Here is a 25,092-nt window from a genome sequence, read left to right on the forward strand (position 1 = left end):
ATGTACAAAAATCACAAGCATTCTTGTACACCAATAACAGACAAACAGAGAGCCAAATCATGAGTGAACTCCCATTCACAATTGCTTCAAAGAGAATAGAATACCTAGGAATCCAACTTACAAGGGATGTGAAGGACCTCTTCAAGGAGAACTACAAACCACTGCTCAATGAAATAAAAGAGGTTACAAACAAATGGAAGATCATTTCATGCTCATGGGTAGGAAGAATAAATATTGTGAAAATGGCCATACTGCCCAAGGTAATTTACAGATTCAATGCCATCCCCATCAAGCTACCAATGACTTTCTTCACAGAATTGGAAAAAACTATTTTAAAGTTCATATGGAACCAAAAAAGAGCCCGCATCACCAAGTCAATCCTAAGCCAAAAGAACAAAGCTGGAGGCATCACGCTACCTGACTTCAAACTATACTACAAGGCTACTGTAACCAAAACAGCATGGTACTGGTACCAAAACAGAGATATAGATCAATGGAACAGAACAGAGCCTTCAGAAATAACGCCACATATCTACAACTATCTGATCTTTGACAAACCTGAGAAAAACAAGCAATGGGGAAAGGATTCCCTATTTAATAAATGGTGCTGGGAAAACTGGCTAGCCATATGTAGAAAGCTGAAACTGGATCCCTTCCTTACACCTTATACAAAAATCAATTCAAGATGGATTAAAGTCTTTTCTTCTTTATTAGTCTTGCTAGCAGTCTATCAATTTTGTTGATCTTTCCAAAAAACCAGCTCCTGGATTCATTAATTTTTTGAAGGGTTTTTTGTGTCTCTATTTCCTTCAGTTCTGCTCTGATTTTAGTTATTTCTTGCCTTCTGCTAGCTTTTGAATGTGTTTGCTCTTGCTTCTCTAGTTCTTTTAATTGTGATGTTAGGATGTCAATTTTGGATCTTTCCTGCTTTCTCTTGTGGACATTTAGTGCTGTAAATTTCCCTCTACACACTGCTTTGAATGTGTCCCAGAGATTCTGGTATGTTGTGTCTTTGTTCTCGTTGGTTTCAAAGAACATCTTTATTTCTGCCTTCATTTTGTTATGTACCCAGTAGTCATTCAGGAGCAGGTTGTTCAGTTTCCATGTAGTTGAGTGGTTTTGAGTGAGTTTCTTAGTCCTGAGTTCTAGTTTGATTGCACTGTGGTCTGAGAGACAGTTTGTTATCATTCCTGTTCTTTTACATTTGCTGAGGAGTGCTTTACTTCCAACTATGTGGTCAATTTTGGAATAGGTGTGGTGTGGTGCTGCAAAAAATGTATATTCTGTTGATTTGGGGTGGAGAGTTCTGTAGATGTCTATTAGGTCCGCTTGGTGTAGAGCTGAGTTCAATTCCTGGGTATCCATGTTAACTTTCTGTCTAATGTTGATGGTCGTGTGTTAAAGTCTCCCATTATTATTGTGTGGGAGTCTAAGTCTCTTTGTAGGTCACTAAGGACTTGCTTTATGAATCTGGGTGCTCCTGTATTGGGTGCATATGTATTTAGGATAGTTAGCTCTTCTTGTTGAACTGATCCCTTTACCATTATGTAATGACCTTCTTTGCCTCTTTTGATCTTTGTTGGTTTAAAGTCTGTTTTATCAGAGACTAGGATTGCAACCCCTGCCTTTTTTTGTTTTCCATTTGCTTGGTAGATCTTCCTCCATCCCTTTATTTTGAGCCTGTGTGTGTCTCTGCACGTGAGATGGGTTTTCTGAATACAGCACACTGATGGGTCTTGACTCTTCATCCAAATTGCCAGTCTATGTCTTTTAATTGGAGCTTTTAGCCCATTTACATTTAAAGTTAATATTGTTATGTGTGTATTTGGTCCTGTCATTATGATGTTAGCTGGTTATTTTGCTCATTAGTTGATGCAGTTTCTTCCTAGTCTCGATGGTCTTTACATTTTGGCATGTTTTTCCAGTGGCTGGTACCAGTTGTTCCTTTCCATGTTTAGTGCTTCCTTCAGGAGCTCTTTTAGGGCAGGCCTGGTGGTGACAAAATCTCTCAGCATTTGCTTGTCTGTAAAGGATTTTATTGCTCCTTCATTTATGAAGTTTAGTTTGGCTGGGTATGAAATTCTGGGTTGAAACTTCTTTTCTTTAAGAATGTTGAATATTGGCCCCCACTCTCTTCTGGCTTGTAGAGTTTCTGCTGAGAGATCCCCAGTTAATCTGATGGGCTTCCCTTTGTGGGTAACCCGACCTTTCGCTCTGGCTGCCCTTAACGTTTTTTCCTCCATTTCAACTTTGGTGAATCTGACAATTATGTGTCTTGGAGTTGCTCTTCTGGAGGAGTATCTTTGTGGCGTTCTCTGTATTTCCTGAATCTGAATGTTGGTCTGCCTTGCTAGATTGGGGAAGTTCTCCTGGTTAATATCCTGCAGAGTGTTTTCCTACTTGGTTCCATTCTCCCTGTCACTTTCAGGTACACCAATCAGACATAGATTTGGTCTTTTCACATAGTTCCATATTTCTTGGAGGCTTTGTTTGTTTGTTTTTATTCTTTTTTCTCTAAACTTCACTTTTCACTTCATTTCATTCATTTCGTTTTCCATCACTGATAAAATGGTGTTCTCTTGTATCTCACTGAGTTTTCTTATGATCATTATTTTAAATTTCAAGCATTTCATAGATTTCCTTTTCTTTGGCATCTTTTACTGGAGGGTTATTGTGTTCCTTTGGAGGTGTCATGTTTCCTTTCTTTTTCATATTTATTTTGTGCTTACGTTGTTATGTACACATCAGTTGTAACTTGCACCTCTTCCAATTTTATCAAGTAGCTTCTATGTGAAGGATGTTTTTCCTGTAGATGCATCTATAATGTTCATTGGATAGGGTGCTTTTGCTTTGGCTCTAAATGGGTACCTGATATAGTTTGGATATGTGTTGTCTCCAAATCTCATGTTCAAATGTGTAACTCAATGGTGGAGGTGGGGCCTGGTGGGAGGTATTGAATCATGGGGGAAGTTCCCTCATTAATGTCTTGGTGCCATCTCCTTGGTAATGAGTGAGTTTTTGCTCTGATTTCACAAAAAAAACTGATTCTTTTAAAGTGCATAGCACCTCCCCCTTCTCTCTCTTGCTCCCATTCTTGCCATTTGACATCCTGGCTCCCTGTTGCTTTCCTTCATGATTGTAAACTTCCTGAGGACCTCACCAGAAGCAGATGCCAGAAGCTGGCACCACACTTCCTGTACAGGCTACGGAATTGTGAGCCACAGTAAATCGCTTTTTTTTTTTTTTTTTTACAGATTACCCAGCCTCAGGCATTTCTTTATAGCAACGCAAGAACAGGCTAATACAGCAGCACTATATTATAGTCTCTGTATGATAACTTTGGCTATACTTAACATCAGCATGGTGTACAAATTCCTTAGTGGCATAGGCTATTTGTAGACCCTCTGGTGAGGCTTTGCTGGGGATGGGGTTGCAAGATGGGCAAGTCGTTAGGCTCCTGGATGGCATGTGCATGCACTGGCAGAGGCAGTGATGTGGCTCAAGTGGGCTAGTCTTTGGGCCCCAGTCAGGATGCACAGGTGCCGGTGGTGTCCACAGCAGGATGGGTGGGCTGGTCCTTGGCTCCTGATGGGGCACATGGGTCATAGCGTCTCACTGCTTGAGGTGGGCAGTGGCCTCAGGCAGCCTGTTCTCAGGCTCTGGGAAGCTGACACTTCTGCTCCCTGTGTTCTTGGGGCAACCTCCTTGATGTGCTGGACCACCTATTCCTGGGTGTAGAGAGCAGCATAAGTATGAGTGCCAGTGACATCCACACCACTAGGTCTAGCCACCATCATGATGCTGCAGCTCTTTGTGCAGATGTCAGGGTGTATTGGTGGAAGCCTAGTGATGTGGAGATGCAGCAGCTATTGGACCCCAGGGCAGGTTGTGGTTCAGTCCTGGCTCCATTGTCAAAATGGTGGATTGATGCAGTGGCTTGCAGCCCAGGGGTGGGGCCTGGGGAAGATTCCCTTCCTGGAAAAATGCAGCCGCATAAATTCCAGGCAGCTCCCTATAATAGGTTCCCTGCCTGTGAAGGCCAAGGGGCTTTCCTTTAGTTAGAATTGCAGGCATCTGTGGTAGAAATGTGGACTGCTAGGACTCTCTCACTTAACTTTTACCCAAAATGAGAAATTTCTCTTAGCTTCAAACTGTTCTGGCTAGCTGCTTCACTTCCCTCTGAATACTGTCATCTTAAGTTTCTATGCCTCAGAGGGTTTTCCTGTATGTATGTATGTATACCTGTAGTTTTCCTGCTGGATTCCATTAGTCTTCTTAGATGTGCTTTATCTACTTGCTGTTTTGGTCCACTCTTGTGAAGGTGGAAGGAGCTGGGTGGCTCTCATCAGCCATCTTGAGCTAATTTGTGATTGAAATACCCACAAGTGGTTTAAAAAATTATCAAGTTTCTTATATTTATTTGATGTACAAAATGCATGTTGAAGATACTATTAGTGAGTCAAAGCACGTACATGCCCAGCCATAGAAGAGGGATGCCTAAGATAGTTCATACTTCACCTATGGAAAGATAATTACAAGATACCTCTTAGTAAATCTTCTTCTATCAATCCATTTAAATAATCAAGGGCAAAAAACACTTCATTCCAGCTCTTTGAGATATAACACTGAAGACAAAAGAAATATGCTGGCTATATATCATACAAAAACTGAGATAGATGCTATAATGCTATCTTTTGGAATAATAATAATTGTACAAATTACAAATAAAAATAAAAAGTAATAGGAAAGATATGCATTAGATTTACTCTGTGCCATGTACTGTGGATTATAGTATTATCTGTATTTATTTACTCTAACTTTTGAGGTACAATTATTACTTCATCCATTTTTAAGATGGGAAAATGGAGCCACAGATAGATATTAAGCAACTTGCTAGGATTACCCTTCTAGAATGTGGTGGAGCTGGGGCTTAAAACCATGCAGGCTACTTCTGGAAACATTTGAATGACTTTACTGTAATATCTCTTTATAGAAGTAATGTTTTTAAATACATAAGTATGATTTCTGATACTTTTACAATTCATGTCCTTAGTAGTACACTGATAGTCAATTAATATTTATTTCATTGTATTAGTTTCCTATTGATGCTTGACAAATTACCACAAACTTAGTGGCTTAACACAAAACAAAGTTATTATCTTATTTCTGCAGCTCAGAAATTTGAAATTGTCTCTCTGGGCTAAAATCAATGTATTGGTAGGGACACTTTCCTTTAAGCAGGTGATATAGTTTAGTTTGGAGGTGTGTCCGCAACCAAATCTCATATTGCAATGTAATCCCCAGTGATATGGTTTGGCTGTGTCCCCACCCAAATCTCATCTTGAATTGTAGTTCTTGTAATTCCCATGTGTCATGGGAGGGAACCAGTGGGAGGTGATTAAATCATGGGGGCAGGACTTTGTCATGCTGTTCTTGTGATACTGAATAAGCCTCCAGAGGTCTGATGGTTTTATAAAGGGGAGCTCCCCTGCATATGCTCTTTTGCCTACCACCATGCAAGATGTGACTTTGTTCCTCCTCCTGCCATAATTGTGAGGCCTCCCCACCCATGTTGAACTGTGAGTCAATTAAACCTCTTATCTTTATAAATTTCCCAGTCTTGGATATGTCTTTATTAGCAGTGTGAGAACAGACAAATACACCCAGTGTTGGAGGTGGGACCTGGTGGGAGGTGATTGATTGGATCATGGGAATGGATCCCTCATGAAAGACTTGGCACCATCCCTCTTGGTACTGTCCGCATGGTAGTGAGTTCTCATGAGATCTCACCATCTCAAAGTATGCCGCGTAGCACCACTGCCCTTACTCTCTCTTGCCCCTGTTTTGGCCATGTGACATGCCTCTTCCCCCTTTGCCTTCTGCCATGATTATAAGTTTCCTGAGGCCTTCCCAGAAGCCTAGCAGATGTCAGCATCATGCTTCCTGTACAGGCTGCAGAGCCATGAGCCAATTAAACCTTTGTTTATTTTATAAATAAATTACACAGTCTCAGGTATTTCTTGATTGTACTGTGGGAGTGAAATAACATAGCAGACTCTAGGGTAGAATCAGTTTTCTTACCTTTTCTAGTTCCTAGCAGGTTCCCTCAGCCCTTGGTTTGTGGTGCCTTTTTATCTTCAAAGTCAGCAATGGCCAAGTTACTCTTTCTCATGATGCTATCTCTTAATTTCTGAATTTTCTGTCTCCCTCTTTCTTATATATGGACACTCGTGTTTACTGTGGGCCCCCTGGCTAATCCAGGATAATCTATTTTAAGGTCAGTTAATTAGCAACCTCAATTTCATCTGAAATCTTTATTGCCCTTTGCCATGTAATATAACATATTCACAAGTTCAGAAAATTAGGACATATACATCGTTGAGCTATTACACTCATTATGTATTTGTATTGTGTTTTTTGTACCTATAATGAGTGTGTATGTATGCATAATATAATCACAGTGTAATGGGAAATCAAATTAATTATTTAATTAACCATACCTTAAACAAACATTGTATTAGTTAGTCTGTGGTTTAAAACAGGTTACCTATATTAAACACTGATGAATTGGTTCATGTTGGAAATCGCCATTTGGTCAGTAAACCTCAGCAAGGCCCTGTGAGTGCTATAATTAGGGCTTCCAGCAGAGTTGGAAAAGTAATAGTTGGCATGCGAATCTGAAAGTTGTTATAGTTTGCAGCCAGTAATGGCTTGTCCACTCTATTCTAGGCTCTTGGGATAATAACTTTGTTATTTGAGTATTTAACCTGCTTCTATGGTTTAAAGTATAAAATCTTCAAGAGTAGAGTCTCTTTAAGTCTTTGTAAAAACTCTACATTTTGATGACAGGTCTGTTATTATTCTGAGTCACTTGCTATATGTGATTTGCTTTCTATTTTCTTTATCTTGCCTACTAAACAGAAAATGGACATTAGACAATGTTCTGTGATAAAAAACATCTGCTTAATTTTTTTTCAAAATGCTGGATTCAAGGATGACAAGAAACAGCATTCATTGTATTTCTATAATTTGTGTCGAATATTTAAAAGTGGAAGAAACTGACCTTCAATAGTTATTGAGGTAGTACTCAAATCATGCTCAATTTTTTGTTCTATCTTTAAATCATACCTCATAAATCAGATAATGTGACCTGAAAGACAAAAGCAATGTCTACCTGCAAGCAAACATTGGATGGAAACTAATCACCCTGCCTATATATGTGACCCACATAATGATTATATGACATCAGCAGAAAAAGGGTTGTAAAAATGATTTTGCCAGGGTCCACAACATGAGGCTTATGAACACATAGAGCAGTATTTCTCAACTTTTTAAAAAGTTATAACTTCCTAAGGAGTTTTCTGGACACACTTTTTCTAATCGCTTCCTTCCTTCCGTAGAATTTTAATACTACAGATTTATTGTATATTTGTTTATGCATGGCAGCCCTTGGAGGGCCACAAACTATTGTAATAGCTAAGATGCCACCTCCTAAGGAAAGAATTTTCACACTCTTGGGGCCAATATCACCCCCACTGAGATCCATAACACAGAGTGACAGTAGTGGAAGGAAGCTTAATAGGCTGTTATTCAAAACTCTTCATTCTACTAACAAGGAACCTGGGACACAGAGAAGAAAATTGATTTGCCTAAAAGGATACATACTTAATAGGCATTGTGGAGAAAACAAAAGAAATGTAAGGCGTAGAATATGGTGAATTTGATTTTACATACAACTAATATTGAACAAGTTACCTTTCCCACAGAAAAAGTTTCCATTCCCACCAAAGCACTGTGGGTAAGGAAGAAACCCCATGATACCTGCATGATGACGAAGTGATAATGAAACTGTCAGGACATTCAAGGTATTACAATTTCGTCTGATATTTTCATACAGACAGAATGTAATATGACTTGATAATTTATAAAATAAGTATTATTTTTATGATAATATATAATAGAAAAATAATCCTTTGTCGAATTCAGCCACAGAGATTTTAAAATTCCAATAGAAGGAAAGACTTGTTTAAAGGTCAATCACTCGAATACTCTTGGTATTTTCCCACAGTTAGAGATTATTCGACAAAGTAAAGAGTTCACAACTGTCAGATGCTGGCATTTCGAAGGGTAAAAGACATCTTTATGAAATAGAACAAATATCTTTTCATGTAAAACAGTGTGTTAAATACCATCTAGAAAAGAGTATTAAATTTGTTCTTTCAAGTTATTTATGAAAATTATGTCCTACATTCGAGTAATAAAAAAAGAGTCACAACCAAAAAGTAAAACTGCCATTTGAAATTAATGTCTTCATTTTCCTGATGTAAATGACTGCAAAATATTTAGCAGAAGATTGCTGCTAAGATCAGAGCAGTAAATAATGTTCTATGATTAGATTCCAGTGTATATGAAGAGAGCAAATAGCCTTGTTTCCTGGTCACAGGGAGAGATGGTTTCTGACAGACATTTGCATACATTCCTAGTTGGAACACTAGACCACTAATTAAAATTAGTGAGATTCTTTTAGTCCAGTAAAGTATTCTAAATTGTTTCACTCTGCATACCTTACTTGTAATACATTCCTAAATTTATGAGTAATACCTGTTGCAAAATAATACAAATAATAATACAAATAATGTGGATATTATAGAAAAAAACATAATAAAGTGATGTACAGTTGTGATAACTGAAAGGTATATAAAATATGAAAAAATATGAATAGTTATGTCCTTACTTTTGGCCGTGAATTTGATGGTGTTAACATTTATTCCCCTTGAAAATATGCTTTCCATTCTATGCCATCCACCTATCCTGGGTGTGTCTCAAGGCCAGTAAACTCAAGCAAACCTCCCTTCAATTTTGTTCATAGGGATTTCCTAAGATCCTGTCAGTTTTTTCTAAGATCCTGTCAGTTTTTTAAATGTTAGCCTTGCTCTAAATACATGTTGAGTTTTACCTGGTCTCTTACTTCTAGAATATAACATCCCCAATTCCAGGACCAAGCACCATATTTCTTAAACTGACCTCATTGGCTGGTGAGATAGAGATCAGATACTAATTTATTCCTTCATTTGTTATTTTATTCATTTCAAAAGCATTTATTGATCACTTAAATGGGCAAGGAACTTTGCTAGACTTAGAGACACGATGGTGAATAGGAGTGACCAGTTCTTTACGTATCTTACATTCTAGTTGAGGTGAGTAACATAAAATAAATATTTGCATAATTTAAAGGATTATTCCATTATAATGTTGATAAATACCGCAAATGAGTTTAGAGCATTCATATTATATAAAAAGAAACTTGTCCTAGGCTGGTGAGTCAAGAAAGACTTCCCCGATTAAGTGACATTTAATCTGAGGCTCAAAAACAATACAAGTTTACTTTTCAAAGAAAAAGGAGAAAAGCAATACAGAATGAGCAAAATAGGCAAGGGACCTAAGACAGAGAGGAATCTGGTTCATGAAAGGAAGTACATGAAAACAAGTGTGGTGTGAAGTGAGAGGTGGGGCGGATGTGTAAAATTATTGCTGAGGTAGGTAGATACCAGATTATCTAGCACAATTTTAATTATTTTAAATATTATCCTTAGAGACTTGGGAAGGCACAAATGAATATTAAGTTGTGAAATTACAGGATTATATTTAGGCTTCATAATTATTTTTCAGTAAAGAGTATGGAGAATGAACTGGGTGTACAAAAGAAGCTACTAAAAATGAGTTAGGTAAAAGGACACAATCAGCAGAGCGAAAGGCAACCTAAAGAATGGAAAAATGCTTGTGAACTATGTATGTGATAAGGGGCTAATATCTAGAGCATATTAAGAACTCCTACAACTAAACAACAACAATGACAAAGTCAAATTACCTAATTAAAAAATGAGCAATGGATTTGAATAGACATTTCTCCAAAGATGATATGCAAATGACCAGTGAGCATAAAACAAGATGCTCAGAGTCACCAGTCACCAAGACATACAAATCAAAACCACAATGCCATATTAACTGACACTGGTTAGGGTGTATTTCATCCAAAAACAAAATGTAACGAATGCTGGAAAGCATGTGGAGAAATGGGAACCCTTGGGCACTTTAGCTGTGGTTGTGAAATAGTGTAACGGCTATGGAAAATAGTATGGAGGTTCCTCAGAAAATTAAAAATACAACTACCATATTATCTGACAATTCTACTTCTGAGCATATATCCAAAAGAATGGAAGCAGGGTCTCAAGAACATATTTGTGTTCACACATTAAATGCCAGCCCTATTTACAATAGTCAAGAAGTACAAGCAACCCAAATATTCATCCACAGATACATGGATAAATAAATAAAATGTGATACATTCATGTAACAGATTATTCAGCCTTAAAAAGAAATGTTTCACATGCTATAACAGCGATGAGCCATGGAGTACATTATGCTAAGTGAAATCAGTCAGACAGAAAAAGACAAATACTGTATGATTCACCTTAGATAAGGTATCTAAAGTAGTCAAATTCATAAAAACATAAAGTAGAGTGGTGGTTACCAGGAACGGTGAGGAGAGAGAAAAAAGGAGTTGTTTAACGAGTACAGTGTCAGATTTACAAGATGGAAAGGCTCTGGAGATTTGTTTCACAATGTAAATATAGGTAACATTACTGAACTTGCACTTAAAAATAGTTAAGAAGGTGAATTTTATGTAAGTGTTCTTACCATAATAAAAAATAACCAGGAGGTAATTCCTCAGTTCAAAGAAAAGATGAATGGTTGTTTGCATTAGAACTGTAGTAGTGGAGCTCAAGGAAAAGAAATGAATATAAGAGATTTAGAAAATAAACTTAACAGGCACATTAGAAACATATGTAGGGGTAAGGGAGGGGAAGTAGTCAAAGAAGTCTTGAATTATAAAAATATATATGTGGCAGTATTATAGCTGAGATACATATGCAGGATTCATTGGTATATGGGCAGTAAGAACTGTCATGGGCGTGGATGAGATCATGAAGGAAGTGAAAGGTTGATGGTGAAGAAAGAAAGTGAGATGCAAAGAAAATCTAAAGCTTAACCTGAACTTCTTAGGGTTTACAGGCTAAGTTCAGCAAAAGGGGTTGACATAAATCTCTGAGAAGAAGATATACTAATAGGCGTACTCCAATTAATCAAAAAAAGTCACATTTACCATTAATTGCCCATTAATATAAACCGAAGAGATTATCATAAGGACATAATCCCTGTATAATCCAATCTTAAACTTTGTGATGATCAAAGGAAGAAACTGCACAGTTCCGATTGGTCTTTCCTTACTCTGATTTCCTAACTCTGTTTGTATAAAGATGTGTTGTTCTATAGATTAGATTGAAGTTACTACATAAGCAAATGAATTACTTAAATCAACTAATTGTACAGATTTGCCATAAGTCAACTTACCGTGTGGATTCAACAGAATTCAGATTTTTTTATTAACACTATAACAAACATAGTACCTGTTCAGGAATACTAACCCTTATGTGCATAACTCATGAGGAGCTTTCAAAATAGGGTGTTCATTTCTTACTGCGTGTACCACTTAATACCACTGAGCACACAATTCAAAAAAGCCTGTAAGTCTTAAAACTAAATATTATATTACAGAATACATTGATGAATTCACGTCCAATGCACTACTTCTTGTAAGACATTACAATGTGATGTGGCTAAATATATTTCCACTGCATTGCTAATCACATTATAGATGATATAAACTATGGAACAGATAGTTATTATTTATAAATAAATTTTAGGTCTGTCCTTGATTTTCTTCATTTGAAAATGAGTGTTTTAGGCATTGTAAATCACTTACATTATTATTATTTGTTGCTTTTCTGTTAAAATGACCTCATATTGATTAGTTTCTAATCATTCCAATTTATAAGCACAAATTAGTATAAACCACACATTTTAAAATCTGTCTGATAAGACATTTTGGATACAAGGCAAATATCTACTTGAGTATAATTTCTCTTAAGATTTGTTTCTGTCTACATTTCATACTGGGTTCTTTTTAGAAATAAAAAACAAACTTAATAGTAAAGACCTGTTTAAAATAATTAGACACGAAAAAAAGTAAACTTTTTCATCTTATCTTGTTATTTTGAAATGTAATTTTCAATGTGTTGGTCATCAAACATTGATGTTTACTTCGGTATAAACCATATTTTTGCAATTCTGATTATACCCTAAGGTAATTTATAAGATTCTACCAGTTATTTTGATATAATTAATTACTAACATATAAAAAGACAATAATGATATACTATTTCTATAATAAAAAATTTTCCATTGGGAAGAACTGTAAATACATAAATAGCTTAGTACCTTTATAGACTATAAATATAGCACTGTAGAATAGTAAACGTAATCTGAAAATAAAGCTTAATGTAAGAATAATATAAACAGTCATGTAAGTATTTTAAAATGATCTACCTTTTGTAAAAAAAAAAAAAATCCAACATGTCCTGTAACTCATAGCAGATAATTATTACATAGTTTTAAATAACTTTGAGGGAAATATTACTATGATAAAGTAAATTTGCATGAAAAAGTCCCAAAACCAAGGAAATAAAATATATCGATGAAATCATACATTCATACACATACACCCTCATGCATACATATCAAATATACATACCTTTATGTATATGTCAATAATTTCAAATTATAAGAAATATAATTTGTAATAGTTTAATTCTTTGTATGAAGACACAATAATTACGTTGAAAGATTTAGAAAATAAAAGAATACTCATTACATATAATGAATAGGCTAGAATGTTTAAAATATAATTTAAAATTTCTCTTAAAACTCAAGTGTAATAGAAGACCATAGATATAGATACATATCTTTAATATGTATATTTTAAATCCAAATTGAACATCCCAGTACTTTGAACTATGATGCAGGCTGTTATATATAAAACTCTTAGACAAGAATTTAAAAGTTGTATATAGGTGTGAAATATTTCTTATTACTTTTAAACTGGGGCACATTTCCTTTCTTGGAATAAGTCAATAATAATATTTAATTTAATTCAGCACTTTAGTAAATGTACTTTTGCCCTTGAAGAGATAAATCACTGACTCAGGAGAGAAAAAAAGAGTATACAAACTTTACCTTCTATTTAGAGAAATGCCAGGGTGAGCAGATTGTGACATACATCTCTTATCAGGTGAGCCTTTGAAGGCAATTGTGGGTGAATTTTAACAAAGAAAAAAAAAGTGAATTGTTATAAGTACTGGATAAATAAAACAAATAGAAGCAAAAATAAGGCATTGCGAGTTAACACAGATATGACAAAAATTAATAAAACTTTAAATTATTACTATGCTATTCCAAAGCTTGTTTAAATGAATACATATCTCCTATACAATTTTGCCTATATCACTAAAGAGGTAAGTCACTGTAATTATAGTACATCGTAAAACTCCATTAGACCATTTAAGGTAGTTTTTTTCCCTGTGGTTCCACATTACAATCATATTTCAATAAAGCTAATGCATTTTTCCCAATGATAGGAAATTCTTTTCTCAGTATACCAAATCCATGACAAAATCTGTGCTAATGCATGAAACTAGAAACCTAATAAAATACAAAAGTTTGTAAGAAGAGTCAGAACTTCTAAAATCTTGTTAAATATAGATAATCTAGTGTACACTATATGCCACTTAATGCTGAGTACTTAGGTAAGGATTAATAACTCACTCACATCACTTTCTTATAGTAAGGAATTGCATATTAAGCCATGTGACTGTCATGTCATGTCTAGTAACACATACAAGGACCTATTTTTACCTCCAGCCCTTGCAACAATTATATTAGGAATCCTTTAAAAATATTTCTTAATTTCTACCGAAGGTACCTGCCTCTATCCCTGGCCCCAAATGGCTCTCAGTGCCTATAAATGTTCTCCATTTAATGGCTCAAAAGGGAAAGGGAAACTTATGGTGTCCTTTAAATTCCTTCCACCTATCATTCTATTTCCTTAAGCTTTCTGAAATGATTATCAAATCTTGATAACCTATTTAGTTATAAATAGCAATCAATTCACCATTTATTTAAAAAAAGGGAAACGAACATGGAAGGAAAATACAGAGCAAATTTTTTGCACTGATATTTCTCCTGGCACACAGGACTTCAACTGTATTCAAAAAAAATGGACTTCCCATTGCTGTCTGGCATGTAAGGAGACTGGAAGGTAACGTTCTATGCTAACAATAAGTAAAAACTTGAAACAAGCTGAAAAACTGACTACCCTTCTTAGATTCATCAGAAAACTCAGGTCATAGGGAAAATTGGTGCCCCCAAAATTGGAGAAACAGATGGACACAGAGAATCATAAGATGGGCATTAAGAATCAGCAGAAATTCATTAGCAAAAATCTCCATGGGAACCAGTACTGACATAGGAAAACAAAACTGTAACTGACAATTCCTAGAGGCTCAGTGCAGACAAATCTGATGGTTAAAAACTGCAGGGGAGCCAGTTGTAGTGGGACCTGCACATACTTATAAAAAAGTTTTACTGGCTGGGTGCAGTGGCTCACACCTGTAATCCCAGCACTTTGGGAGGCCAAGGTGGGTGGATCACAAGGTCAAGAGATCGAGACCATCCTGGCCAACATGGTGAAACCCTATCGCTACTAAAAATACAAAATATTATCTGGGCATGGTGGCGCACACCTGTAATCCCAGCTACTGGGGAGGCTGAGGCAGGAGAATCACTTGAACCCAGGAGGCGGAGGTTGCAGTGAGCCGAGATCGTGCCACTGCACCCAGCCTGACGACACATCAAGACTCTGACTAAAAAAAAAAAAAGAAGAAAAAAAATAAGTGTTACCTTCAGGAGCTCTACCAAGTTCTCAAAGTCAAGACTGGAGAACAATCCCCTACGGCTTCTGCAGGAGGAGGAGAGAAAAAGTAACCACATTTAAATCAAGCATTCTTTTTCAAAGGGCTTTTCTTCAACAAAAACCATTTTAGCATACTCTAACCTACTGATGTGCTACCAGAGTTTAACCAACCTGGAAGAAAGGAAGCATGCAACTCTATCCCCCTCAACCCAACCAGTCCCAAATAGAGATGAAAAAAATGAAGAAGGCTTTCTGAAATTCACAGCTGGGAGCACAGGCTCACTTAAAAACTCAGAATTAGTCACAGGACTATTAAAGGCTTCCCTTCCCCTTACACTGTACCACCATACCACTAAAGGCTTATTTACCAGCGTTCTTTTTCCCTAACATATCATGTGTAGATTTAATAACAAAAAAAAGTATACTAAAGGGCAAAAAACCAACAACAAAAAAAACAAAACACAGCTGGAATCGACAGATAAAGCATGAGAACCAGACTCTGATATGACAGGCATGTTGGAATTATCAGATTGAGAATATAAAAACAACTATGATTAATATACTGTGGGCTTTAATGGAACAAGTAGACAACAGATAAACAAGGTAAGCAGAGAGATAAAAATAATAAAAACAAATTACAAACAGATGCTGAGATTTTAAAAAATTGTAACAAAAATGAAGAGTGCCTTTGATGAGCTTATTAGTAGACTGGGCACGGCTAAGGAAAGAATCTCTGAGTTTGAGAATATGTCAGTAGATAGCCCCAAAGCTTAAGAAGACTCCTCCCTACCCCTAAAGTTCCAAAAAGTATATATATATATTTTATATATAATATATATTATATATAAAATATACACATATATAATAAATATATAATATATTTTATATATATATATATATATATATATATTTTTAAGACAGGGTCTCATTCTGTCACCCAGGCAGGATTGCAGTGGTATGATCTCATCTCACTGCAACATCCACCTCTCAGGCTCAAGCAGTTCTCCCACCTCAGCCTCCCAAGTAGCTGTGACTACAGATGCACACCACCACACCCCAGCTAATTTTTTGTAGAGACAGGGTTTTGCCATGTTTCCCAGGCTGTTCCCCAACTCCTGAGCTCAACTGATCTGCCCACCTCGGTCCCCCAACAGAAGCAATAATGACTGAGAATTTCCCCACATTACTTTTTGCAATAAACCTTACTTTTTACTTTTGTCAGGCACCAAACCACAAATCCAAGAAGCTCAGAGAACATTAAGCAATATAAATGCAAAACCAACCAACAAACCCCCAAACTGCACCCAGGCATTGATGCAGGATTTTTTTTATTTATTTATTTATTTTAAGATGGAGTCTCCCTCTATTGCCCAGGCTGGAGTGCAGTGGTGCAATCTCTGCTCACTGCAACCTCCACTTTCTGGGTTCAAGCGATTCTCTTGCCTCCACCTCCTGAGTAGATGGGATTACAGGCATGCACCACCACACCCGGCTAGTCTGTTTGTATTTACAGTAGAGACGGAGTTTCACCATATTTGCAAGGCTGGTCTCGAACTCCTGACCTCAAGATCCGCCCGCCTCGTTCTCCCAAAGTGCTGGGATTACAGGCGTGAGCCACTGCGCCCAGCCAGGATATTTTCTTGATCCCTTCAAGGGGCTTGCAACAGGGGTGTCCTTCGTGGGAAGGGGCATGGGAGCAAACAAGTGTGAGAACTGGAGCAAATGAGCTCGGGAACTAGAGGGCTGCTTAGGTGCTGGCAGGAGGAAACTCCTCTCAGTTGGGCAAGCTAGGCTCCACCCCTCATGGGAGGGAGCACACAGGTAAGCCAGTGCAGGAACCTGACCGCTTTAGCACTGAGAGGAGAGCACTTTGTGCAGGCCCTTCAGCAGCATCCAGGTGGGGGTGCCTGTGACCCCAAGACCCCAGAGGGTATGTTACAATGCTCTCTTAGGTCTTCTATCTGCAAAAAGCAGTGTGTGTTAGCTCAGTGGGCTCTTTACCTTGTTGCGTGGGGTGGCTGCCCTCCTCCAGCGAGGGCAAAGGGCCAATGTGACAGCCTTTTTGGGTACTGTACTTAGTGCATCCTGAATTCTTGTCCAGTGCCCAAGAGGAATGAGGGTACACAGACAGATTAAAGGTTAGTGAATATGGAGAATTTAATTAAGTGACGAGAGTGGCTCTCAGTGGAGAGGGGAGCTGGAAGGGGGCGGGAAGGGCAGATCACTCTCCCCTGAAGTTAAGTCACCTCTCTGCCTCTCGCTTCCAAAGCCAACTTGCCTCTTTCTGACATCCAGCCACCCTCTCTGAGGTCAAGTTTCTTCTCCCTGACATCCAGCTCTTTCTCCTTTCTGCCAGCTGAGTCTGAAGTCTTTATAGGCACAGGATGGAATGGGGTGGGCTGTAGGTAGTTTTGGAAAAAGGCAACATTCGATTGGTAGAAAGACATTATTCAGAAGAATCAATTGGAAGAGAGTGGGCACACAGGGACGGAAGTTCTCACTTTGGGCCATGGGTTTCAGGCTTTTCGGCTCAAAGGTGGGGTTTTGCCAGACACCCGCCCCTGTCTGCCTAGAATTTCTCTGCCTCCTGCCTCTGTCATTGTATCAGCATGTCATATCTGAACTGCAGGAATAAAAAAAACAAAAAAACAAAAAAACCTTGAAATGAGCCAGAGATACAGAGAGAAAACACTTCACTTATGCAGGAGCAAAGGTAAAATTACATCCACCTTCTCAGAGATATTGCAGCAAGAAGAGAGTGGAGTGAATCTGGATTCAAGATGGTGGTCTAGAGGAGGAACATCTGCTGCTGACAGTCAGGGACATGGGAAGTCTGGCCCACTCCCAGCAGATCTTGGAGGGAAGATTGAGAGGAGACTGAGGGAGGACACAGAGGAAACACTGAGCCCAAACAGGAGGAAGCTGGGAACCCTGTACACTGGAAATCAATCCTGGCTTCCAACGACTCCTGGGAAAGGGATGAGTTGAACAGGCAAGGAGAAACATATTCCTGCCATAGACCTCTGGAATTCTGGCAGCAGGAGACCCCACGACCCCCACAGACACTTGAGCTCTATATAGAGATTTTTGTCATTAGCTTGTAAATTTGTAAAAGTATTTTATTATAAATACAAGGTATTTGTTAGTTATGTGTATTGCAAACAATATTTCTAATCTTGTGGATTGTACTTTCAATCTCTTAAAGTATGCATGTGCATGCACACACACGCAAACACACACACTCTTTTTTTGTTGTTGTTTTTTAAGAGACAGGGTCTCCTTATGTAGCCCAGGCTGGAGAGTGCAGTAGTAGCTATTTACAGGTGCAATCACTACACACTACAGCCTTGAATTCCTGGGCTCAAATGATCTCCTGCCTCAGCCTCTTGAGTGCTGGGAATACAGGTATGTGTTACTGCACCCAGCCATAAAGTATACTTCGATAAAGGAAAATTCTTATTTTCTCTGAGTTCAATTTTTCAATATTTTCTTTTATGGCAAATGATGCTTTTTGTGCCCAGCTTACAAAATGATTTATTTTGTTTGGTTAAAATTTTTTTTCTACTGTGTAATCATTTAGGGCATTCTTCATTCAATCCACAATCCATTTGGATTTTTTTTTTCTTTTTGGTATGTTGTGAGTTTTAGCTCACAACATATTAAAAGATGTAACCAACATTGCCTGTCTGTTCTTGCCTGTTGTCTACGTATTCCATTAGAGCCCATGGTATATTAATGATAGTTGTTTTGTATTCTCAGTCTGATAATCCCAACATATTTGCCATATCAGAGTCTGGTTAAGGTTCATTACAAAACTATCTCTTTTGCTGACTCAAAAGCCCTACATCAATATTAGAAAATTAAAAATAGTTATATGTATAAGAAGAGGGGGAAAGAAAATGGGGAGTAGAGAGAGGAATCATATAGAAAAACACTAAAAGCTAAATTAATAATTTAGCTGTTAGTATGGGTTTCAATTGACTCAGTGTCATTTATTCAAAGCAATGCAAAACAAAACTTATATTCTTTATGCCATAATTCCAGTCTCTTTCTAAATCAAGCATCCCTATATGCAAGGATTTTTTTATTCTACTCTCTTTCACTGATGATTTGTCTATCCTTTTTCCATTAATATACTTTCTTAATTTCTGTACATTTTTAATGAGTTTTGATATATGTTCATATATATTCTCTAAATTAGATTTTACATATTTTAGGATCATGATGAGTATGCTTGGTCTTTCCATTTCTATATCAATTCTAGAATCATCTTCTCAATTTCCACAAAATAACATCACATGCATTATATCAGAGAATCACACCAAATTTTCACACATTATTGAATATTACAACCCATAAACATGATATATCTATATATTAATATTTAGACTTCAAAATGCATTAGTAATGCTTCATAGTTTTGCTTATAGGAAACCTCCACATCATTCATAGATTTATTTAAAAGTGTTAACTTTTTTATGATGTGACTATAATTTACATCAATTTCAAAAAGTCTTTTATTAGTTCTGTCTTTCAGGGACTGACTTTTGCATATTGATTTTGTACCAAGTTATGTAGACAAATTCACATACATTTTAATAGTTATCAGCTGAAGGAAGATCTATTTTGTTTTACTAAAGGTTTTTAAAATTAATAATTTAGCTATTAGTATTTTTCTATATGATTCCTCTCGCTACTCCCCATTTTCTTTCCCCCTTTTCTTATACATATAACTATATTTAATTTTGTAATACTGATGTAGGGCTTTTGAGTCAGCAAAGAAGATAGTTTTGTAGTTTTCTTTACTTCTAAAGTCTGTAAAGGCCTTAATATCAAAAATAAGTTGAAATTATAAGGCGAGTTGGGACATTTTTTTCTCTTTTCCCTGGCAGAGCTTTTGTGAGATTGGTATTAATCTGACCTTAAATTTGAAGAAAAAAAATCAGCAGTAAATTAGAGCAACTACATCAACTACGAGATGTTTATATATCAATTTGAATTGGTTAATTGTTTAATGTTCCTAAAACTTCAAATTCATTATCATGAAGTAAGTTAAAATATATTACTATTATCTTTTATGACATTAGCATTCCTTTTTTCCTGATTCAGTTTTTTCATTGATAAATTTTGCCTAGCCTATTTTCAGTCTGTTCAAATAACAACTATTTTGTTGATTTTTTCTATTATAGTCTCACCATATACGCCATTGTTTTCTGTGGGATTTTTTTTTCTTTATTATTTCCTTTCTATTTCCTTTGGGCTTAACTTAAACTTCCTTTTCAAAATTGGACTTATTATTGATTTTCAGCTTTTCATATTTTTAATACATGTAGTTAAGACTATATTAGTATTTCTCTAGTTACGACTTCCTGTTTATCCTCTTTTAAAATGTCATATTTTTATTATCATGCATTTCATTTTTTTATATTTTTAATCATAGGCTATTTAGTAGTGTTTTCTAATATCCCCCTAAATGTAGATGTTTGCTATTGTTTCCACCTTAATTATTTCTAATGTAATTGCATTTGAGTCAACTCATACTGTGTGATTCAAGTACTTGGAAATATATCAAGACAACAATTACAAATTTAGAAACATTATATCTCCCTGATGAATTAATCAGTTTGTTATTAAATGCCTCTGTTTTTTCTGGTAGTGATTCTTGGTTTACTGTCTCTTTTATCTGACACAAATATAGCTATACAATTTTCCTTTTCTTAGAATATGATTGGCATATCTTTTTCTAACTTCTTACTTTTAACCTCTCTGAGTACTAATATTGAATATGTTTCTTTTATAAGCAATCTACATACTGACATATTTACTTAATCTGAAAATATGCTTCTTTAATTTGTGTTTAGGTTTAAATACAATTTTACTATTAGATTTCCATTCATACCACATGACTTTTCTTCATTTTCTTTCTGGTATTTTCAAAAAATCACTTCAATTTTTCTCAGTGCTCCTTAATATGGTTTAGATGTTTATCTTTTCCAAATCTCAGATTGAAATGTGATCCCTAATGTTGGATGTGGGGCCTGGTGGGAGGTGTTTGGGTCCCAGGGGCAAATCTCCCTCAGGAATGGCTTGGTGCCCTCGCTGTGGTAACTCATTACCACAAGATCTGATTGTTCCAAGGAACCTGGGACTTCCTCCTTCTCTCTCTCTCTTGCTCCCTGTCTCACCTTGTGACATGCCTCCATTCCCTTCCTGTTCAGCTGTGAGTGAAAGTTTCCTGGGCCTCACCAGATGCTGAGAAGATGCTGTTGCCAAGTTTGTACAGCCTGCAGCACCATTAGCCAAATAAATTTCTTTTCGTTATAAACAACCTAGTCTCAGTTATTGCTTTATAGAAACACAAAATGAACTAACACACTCCTCCTCCACTTCATTATTGTATAGACTACACATTTTTTCTTCTTTCATATGTTACTTTAGTGGTTACAACATACATTCTTGACTTGTTAAAGTCTGATATAAATTAGTACCTAAATTACTATATACTACTCAGACAATTCAAAAACCGAAACAACACTTGAATACCATTCGCATTTTGCTATTATTTTCATGTGTTTATTGTGCATGTTTCAATCCCCAAAAGTTATTCTTATTATATTTTAAGTTGCTAATATTTGCTTGAATTTACTCTTGCATTTGCTGTTATTTATTCATTTCATTCTACAACTCTGTATGCCCACCTGGTTTGTTTATTTATTTAGTTTTTCTGAAGCACCTCCTATAGCATTTGTTTCAATACGATTTACTGGTGATGAGTTCTCTTGGTTTTGCTTATTTAAGACATCTTTATTTCATTTTTCTGTTTAAAATGCTTTCCACTGGATTAGAGCTATTGGTTAGTAGTTATTTTATTAATATTTAAGCACTAAATATATCATCCCATTTTATTCTGTTCTCTGTATTTTCTTCCAAATGCGAGATGTCAGATTTGTAGTTGCTCTCCTGGTGGGGAGGGGCCAGTGTGCGTGCGTGTGTGTGTGTGTGCATGTGCGTGTGTTCCTCTGCTTAAATCCACAAAGCTTTTGGAATCTGAGGCTTGAAGTCATCCATCACTTTTAGAAAATTCTGAAAGTATGTCTTCAAATACTACTTCTTGCCCCACTCTTTTGTGTTTTTCTGCTGGTCTCCAAAGTAACTTATTTTCGATTTCTAATCATGTCTCATATGTCTACTATGTCGTTTTTCTGAAGTGTTTCTCCTTTTCTTCTTAATGTCTCAAAAATTCTGTATTTCTCACATTCCAATTCACCAGTCCTGTAGTCAGCTATGCCTAATCCACTGTTCAATTTACCTATTTTATTCTCAAATTTATTTTTTGTATTTTTACATTCTAGAGTTTCCATTTTACTGTTCTTTAATAGGCTGCAATATCTGGAAAAATTACCCACTAGAATCATGAATGATTATGATGGTGCTTAAAGTCTGTATCTGATTAACTCCAACTTTTATATCACTTATAGATATATTTCTATTGTTTTTAGTTTTTTCACTTAGGTTTTGATTATTTGGTCTTAATTTTATGACATTTCTACTATGTTTCTATTTAATTTCTGACTTTTATATCACAATTTAACAAGAATAATTTGGAGCTCTTTCTGATGTTACCACTTAACAGACAAGATTTCCTTTTCTTTCTGACAGGGAGTTAGAATAGGTGCATATATATTTAATATAATATAAGGTTTAGATAGTTTGGAACTGAGATATTTTGTGAGAGCTGGGCAGTCTCTGGTTTTACCATTATTTCCTTGCTATAGTGGGTCTAGGGTCCTTAGAAATATGAATAATTTCAGGGTCCCTCCTTGCCAATCTTTAAACTCCAAATTTTGTCACGTAGTTTTGTAAAATTATTGAAAGCAATACTTATCTTCATGCTTATTTGTTTACCTGACTCTAACTTTCTGGACATAGCACTAGTAACTGCAAATATCTTAAAGTAAAAAATATTGACTAAATTTCAAGCTCACCTAGAGGCATTTACTTTTCACTGAGATTTGGGACATCTCATATCTAGATGGCTTGGTAGCTCACTGATGACTTAAAACAGGTATTTTTGCTTGTTTGTTTAATTTTGTTCAGTGTTTCTAGCTTTCTGAGTTGTTTCCACAACAATTTATTCCACTTACTATAGGCAGTGATGTGTATATGAATATTACTGTAAGTAGAAAATAGCTATATTTTCATGTTAGTTATCAAAAGGAGGTGTATTTTTCTGAATTAAAAATTCTCGAAGGAAGTTTTGTTGTTAATCTAACATAAGGTATGAAATTGACTAAGATTTTATAAACAAAGTTATAGAAACGATGTGACTCACCCTCAAAAAAATCATACAGTTTTCAATTTTCAGACTGCCAATTAAAAGACATATTTTCTAATTCCTGATCACAACTCTTTTTTTTTTTTTCTTTGAGATAGAGTCTCTGCTCTGTCACCCAGGCTGGAGTGCAGTGGCGCGATCTCTGCTCGCTGCAAACTCCGCCTCCCAGGTTCACGCCATTCTCCTGCCTCAGCCTCCCAAGTGGCTGGGAATGCAGGCACCCGCCACCACGCCCATCTAATTTTTTGTATTTTTAGTAGAGATGGGGTTTCACAGTGTTAGCCAGAATGGTCTAGATCTCCTGATCTCGTGATCCGCCTGCCTCAGCCTCCCAAAGTGCTGGGATTACAGGAGTGAGCCACTGCGCCCGGCCTGATCAAGACTCTTTACCATTCAAAGCTGTTAGATTAAACAAGCTTACAGTTATTTTCTGGGTACTTCACAATCACTTGTGCATGTTTTCTACTCAAGAAACCATGACAATATTTGCTGGCTAATAGAATAAAAGTAATATTTCAAATAAATATTATATCATTACATATAGGTATATAGCAGTATACCATTTTAGTAGTGTACTTACTGAAAAGCAACTAAAGAAAAATGAATTATCTTTCAATAATAGTCACATCTTCTCACATTTACTTTGTCTTATTTTCTGAAAGCACATAGCTTTATGTCCTGTAGCCAAATTGTTAAATCCCCATCTTTGCCTATGAAAATATATAGGATTGATTTAAAGCCAAATTCACACACACACACACACACACACACATACACACACACACACCCTAAAACACATTGTTATCGTTATCCAGCCTTAAAGCTTGTACCTGAGTCTCCCACCAACCCTACCTATCCTCCCCAACAACACTTCAGGAAAGTGTGCTTGTAGTGAGTTATATCATGAATCCGTGACATAGAAAAATTCACAACGCATAACTTTCCCTTTTCATTACTTTGTTCCAGAATCCATTATCAATTATCTTTGTCTTATAAAAACAGGTATCAACATCCAAATAACTTAAGACATTTAATAAGAAAAGTCAAACAATGTGTGGGAAAAATTTCTTTTAGGAAAAGCTTTCATAAAAATAAATACTTTACTATACCAGGGATAGCATTAATTTTTACGTGTGAAAGATTTTGAAAGCTAAAGCATAAGAAAAAAAAAAACTTCCATTTGTTTGTGTCCTCTTTTATTTCATTGAGCAGTGGTTTGTAGTTCTCCTTGAAGAGGTCCTTCACATCCCTTGTAAGTTGGATTCCTAGATATTTTATTCTCTTTGAAGCAATTGTGAATGGGAGTTCATTCATGATTTGGCTCTCTGTTTGTTATTGGTGTATAAGAATGCTTGTGATTTTTGCACAATGATTTTGTATCCTGAGACATTGCTGAAGTTGCCTATCAGCTTGAGATTTTGGGCTGAGACGATGGGGTTTTCTAGATATATATCTGCAAACAGGGACAATTTGAATTCCTCTTTTCCTAATTGAATACCGTTTATTTCCATCTCCTGTCTGATTGCCCTGGCCAGAACTTCCAACACTATGTTGAATGGGAGTGGTGAGAGAGGGCATCCCTGTCTTGTGCCATGCTCATGGGTAGGAAGAATCAATATCGTGAAAATGGCCATACTGCCCAAGGTAATTTATAGATTCAATGCCATCCCCATCAAGCTACCAATGACTTCCTTCACAGAATTGGAAAAAACTACTTTAAAGTTCATATGAAACCAAAAAAAAGCCCGCATCACCAAGTCAATCCTAAGCCAAAAGAACAAAGCTGGAGGCATCACGTTACCTGACTTCAAACTATACAACAAGGCTACAGTAACCAAAACAGCATGGTACTGGTACCAAAACAGAGATATAGACCAATGGAACAGAA

At 36.3% G+C, this 25,092-nt stretch overlaps 1 long non-coding RNA gene across 1 annotated transcript in view; it reads right to left on the reverse strand.

Annotated features, from left to right (window-relative positions):
- Positions 1-25,092, reverse strand: part of LOC105378178 (uncharacterized) — an 894,025-nt gene that overhangs the window by 20,331 nt on the left and 848,602 nt on the right. The window contains exons 6-7 of the long non-coding RNA XR_007064152.1: positions 14,857-14,914; positions 13,135-13,195 (exon numbers count right to left, since the gene is read on the reverse strand). This is a non-coding gene — a long non-coding RNA (uncharacterized LOC105378178). The remainder of the gene's footprint in view (positions 1-13,134; positions 13,196-14,856; positions 14,915-25,092) is intronic.

Source organism: Homo sapiens, chromosome 14, assembly GCF_000001405.40.
Source record: "Homo sapiens chromosome 14, GRCh38.p14 Primary Assembly".
Taxonomy (NCBI): Eukaryota; Metazoa; Chordata; class Mammalia; order Primates; family Hominidae; genus Homo; species Homo sapiens.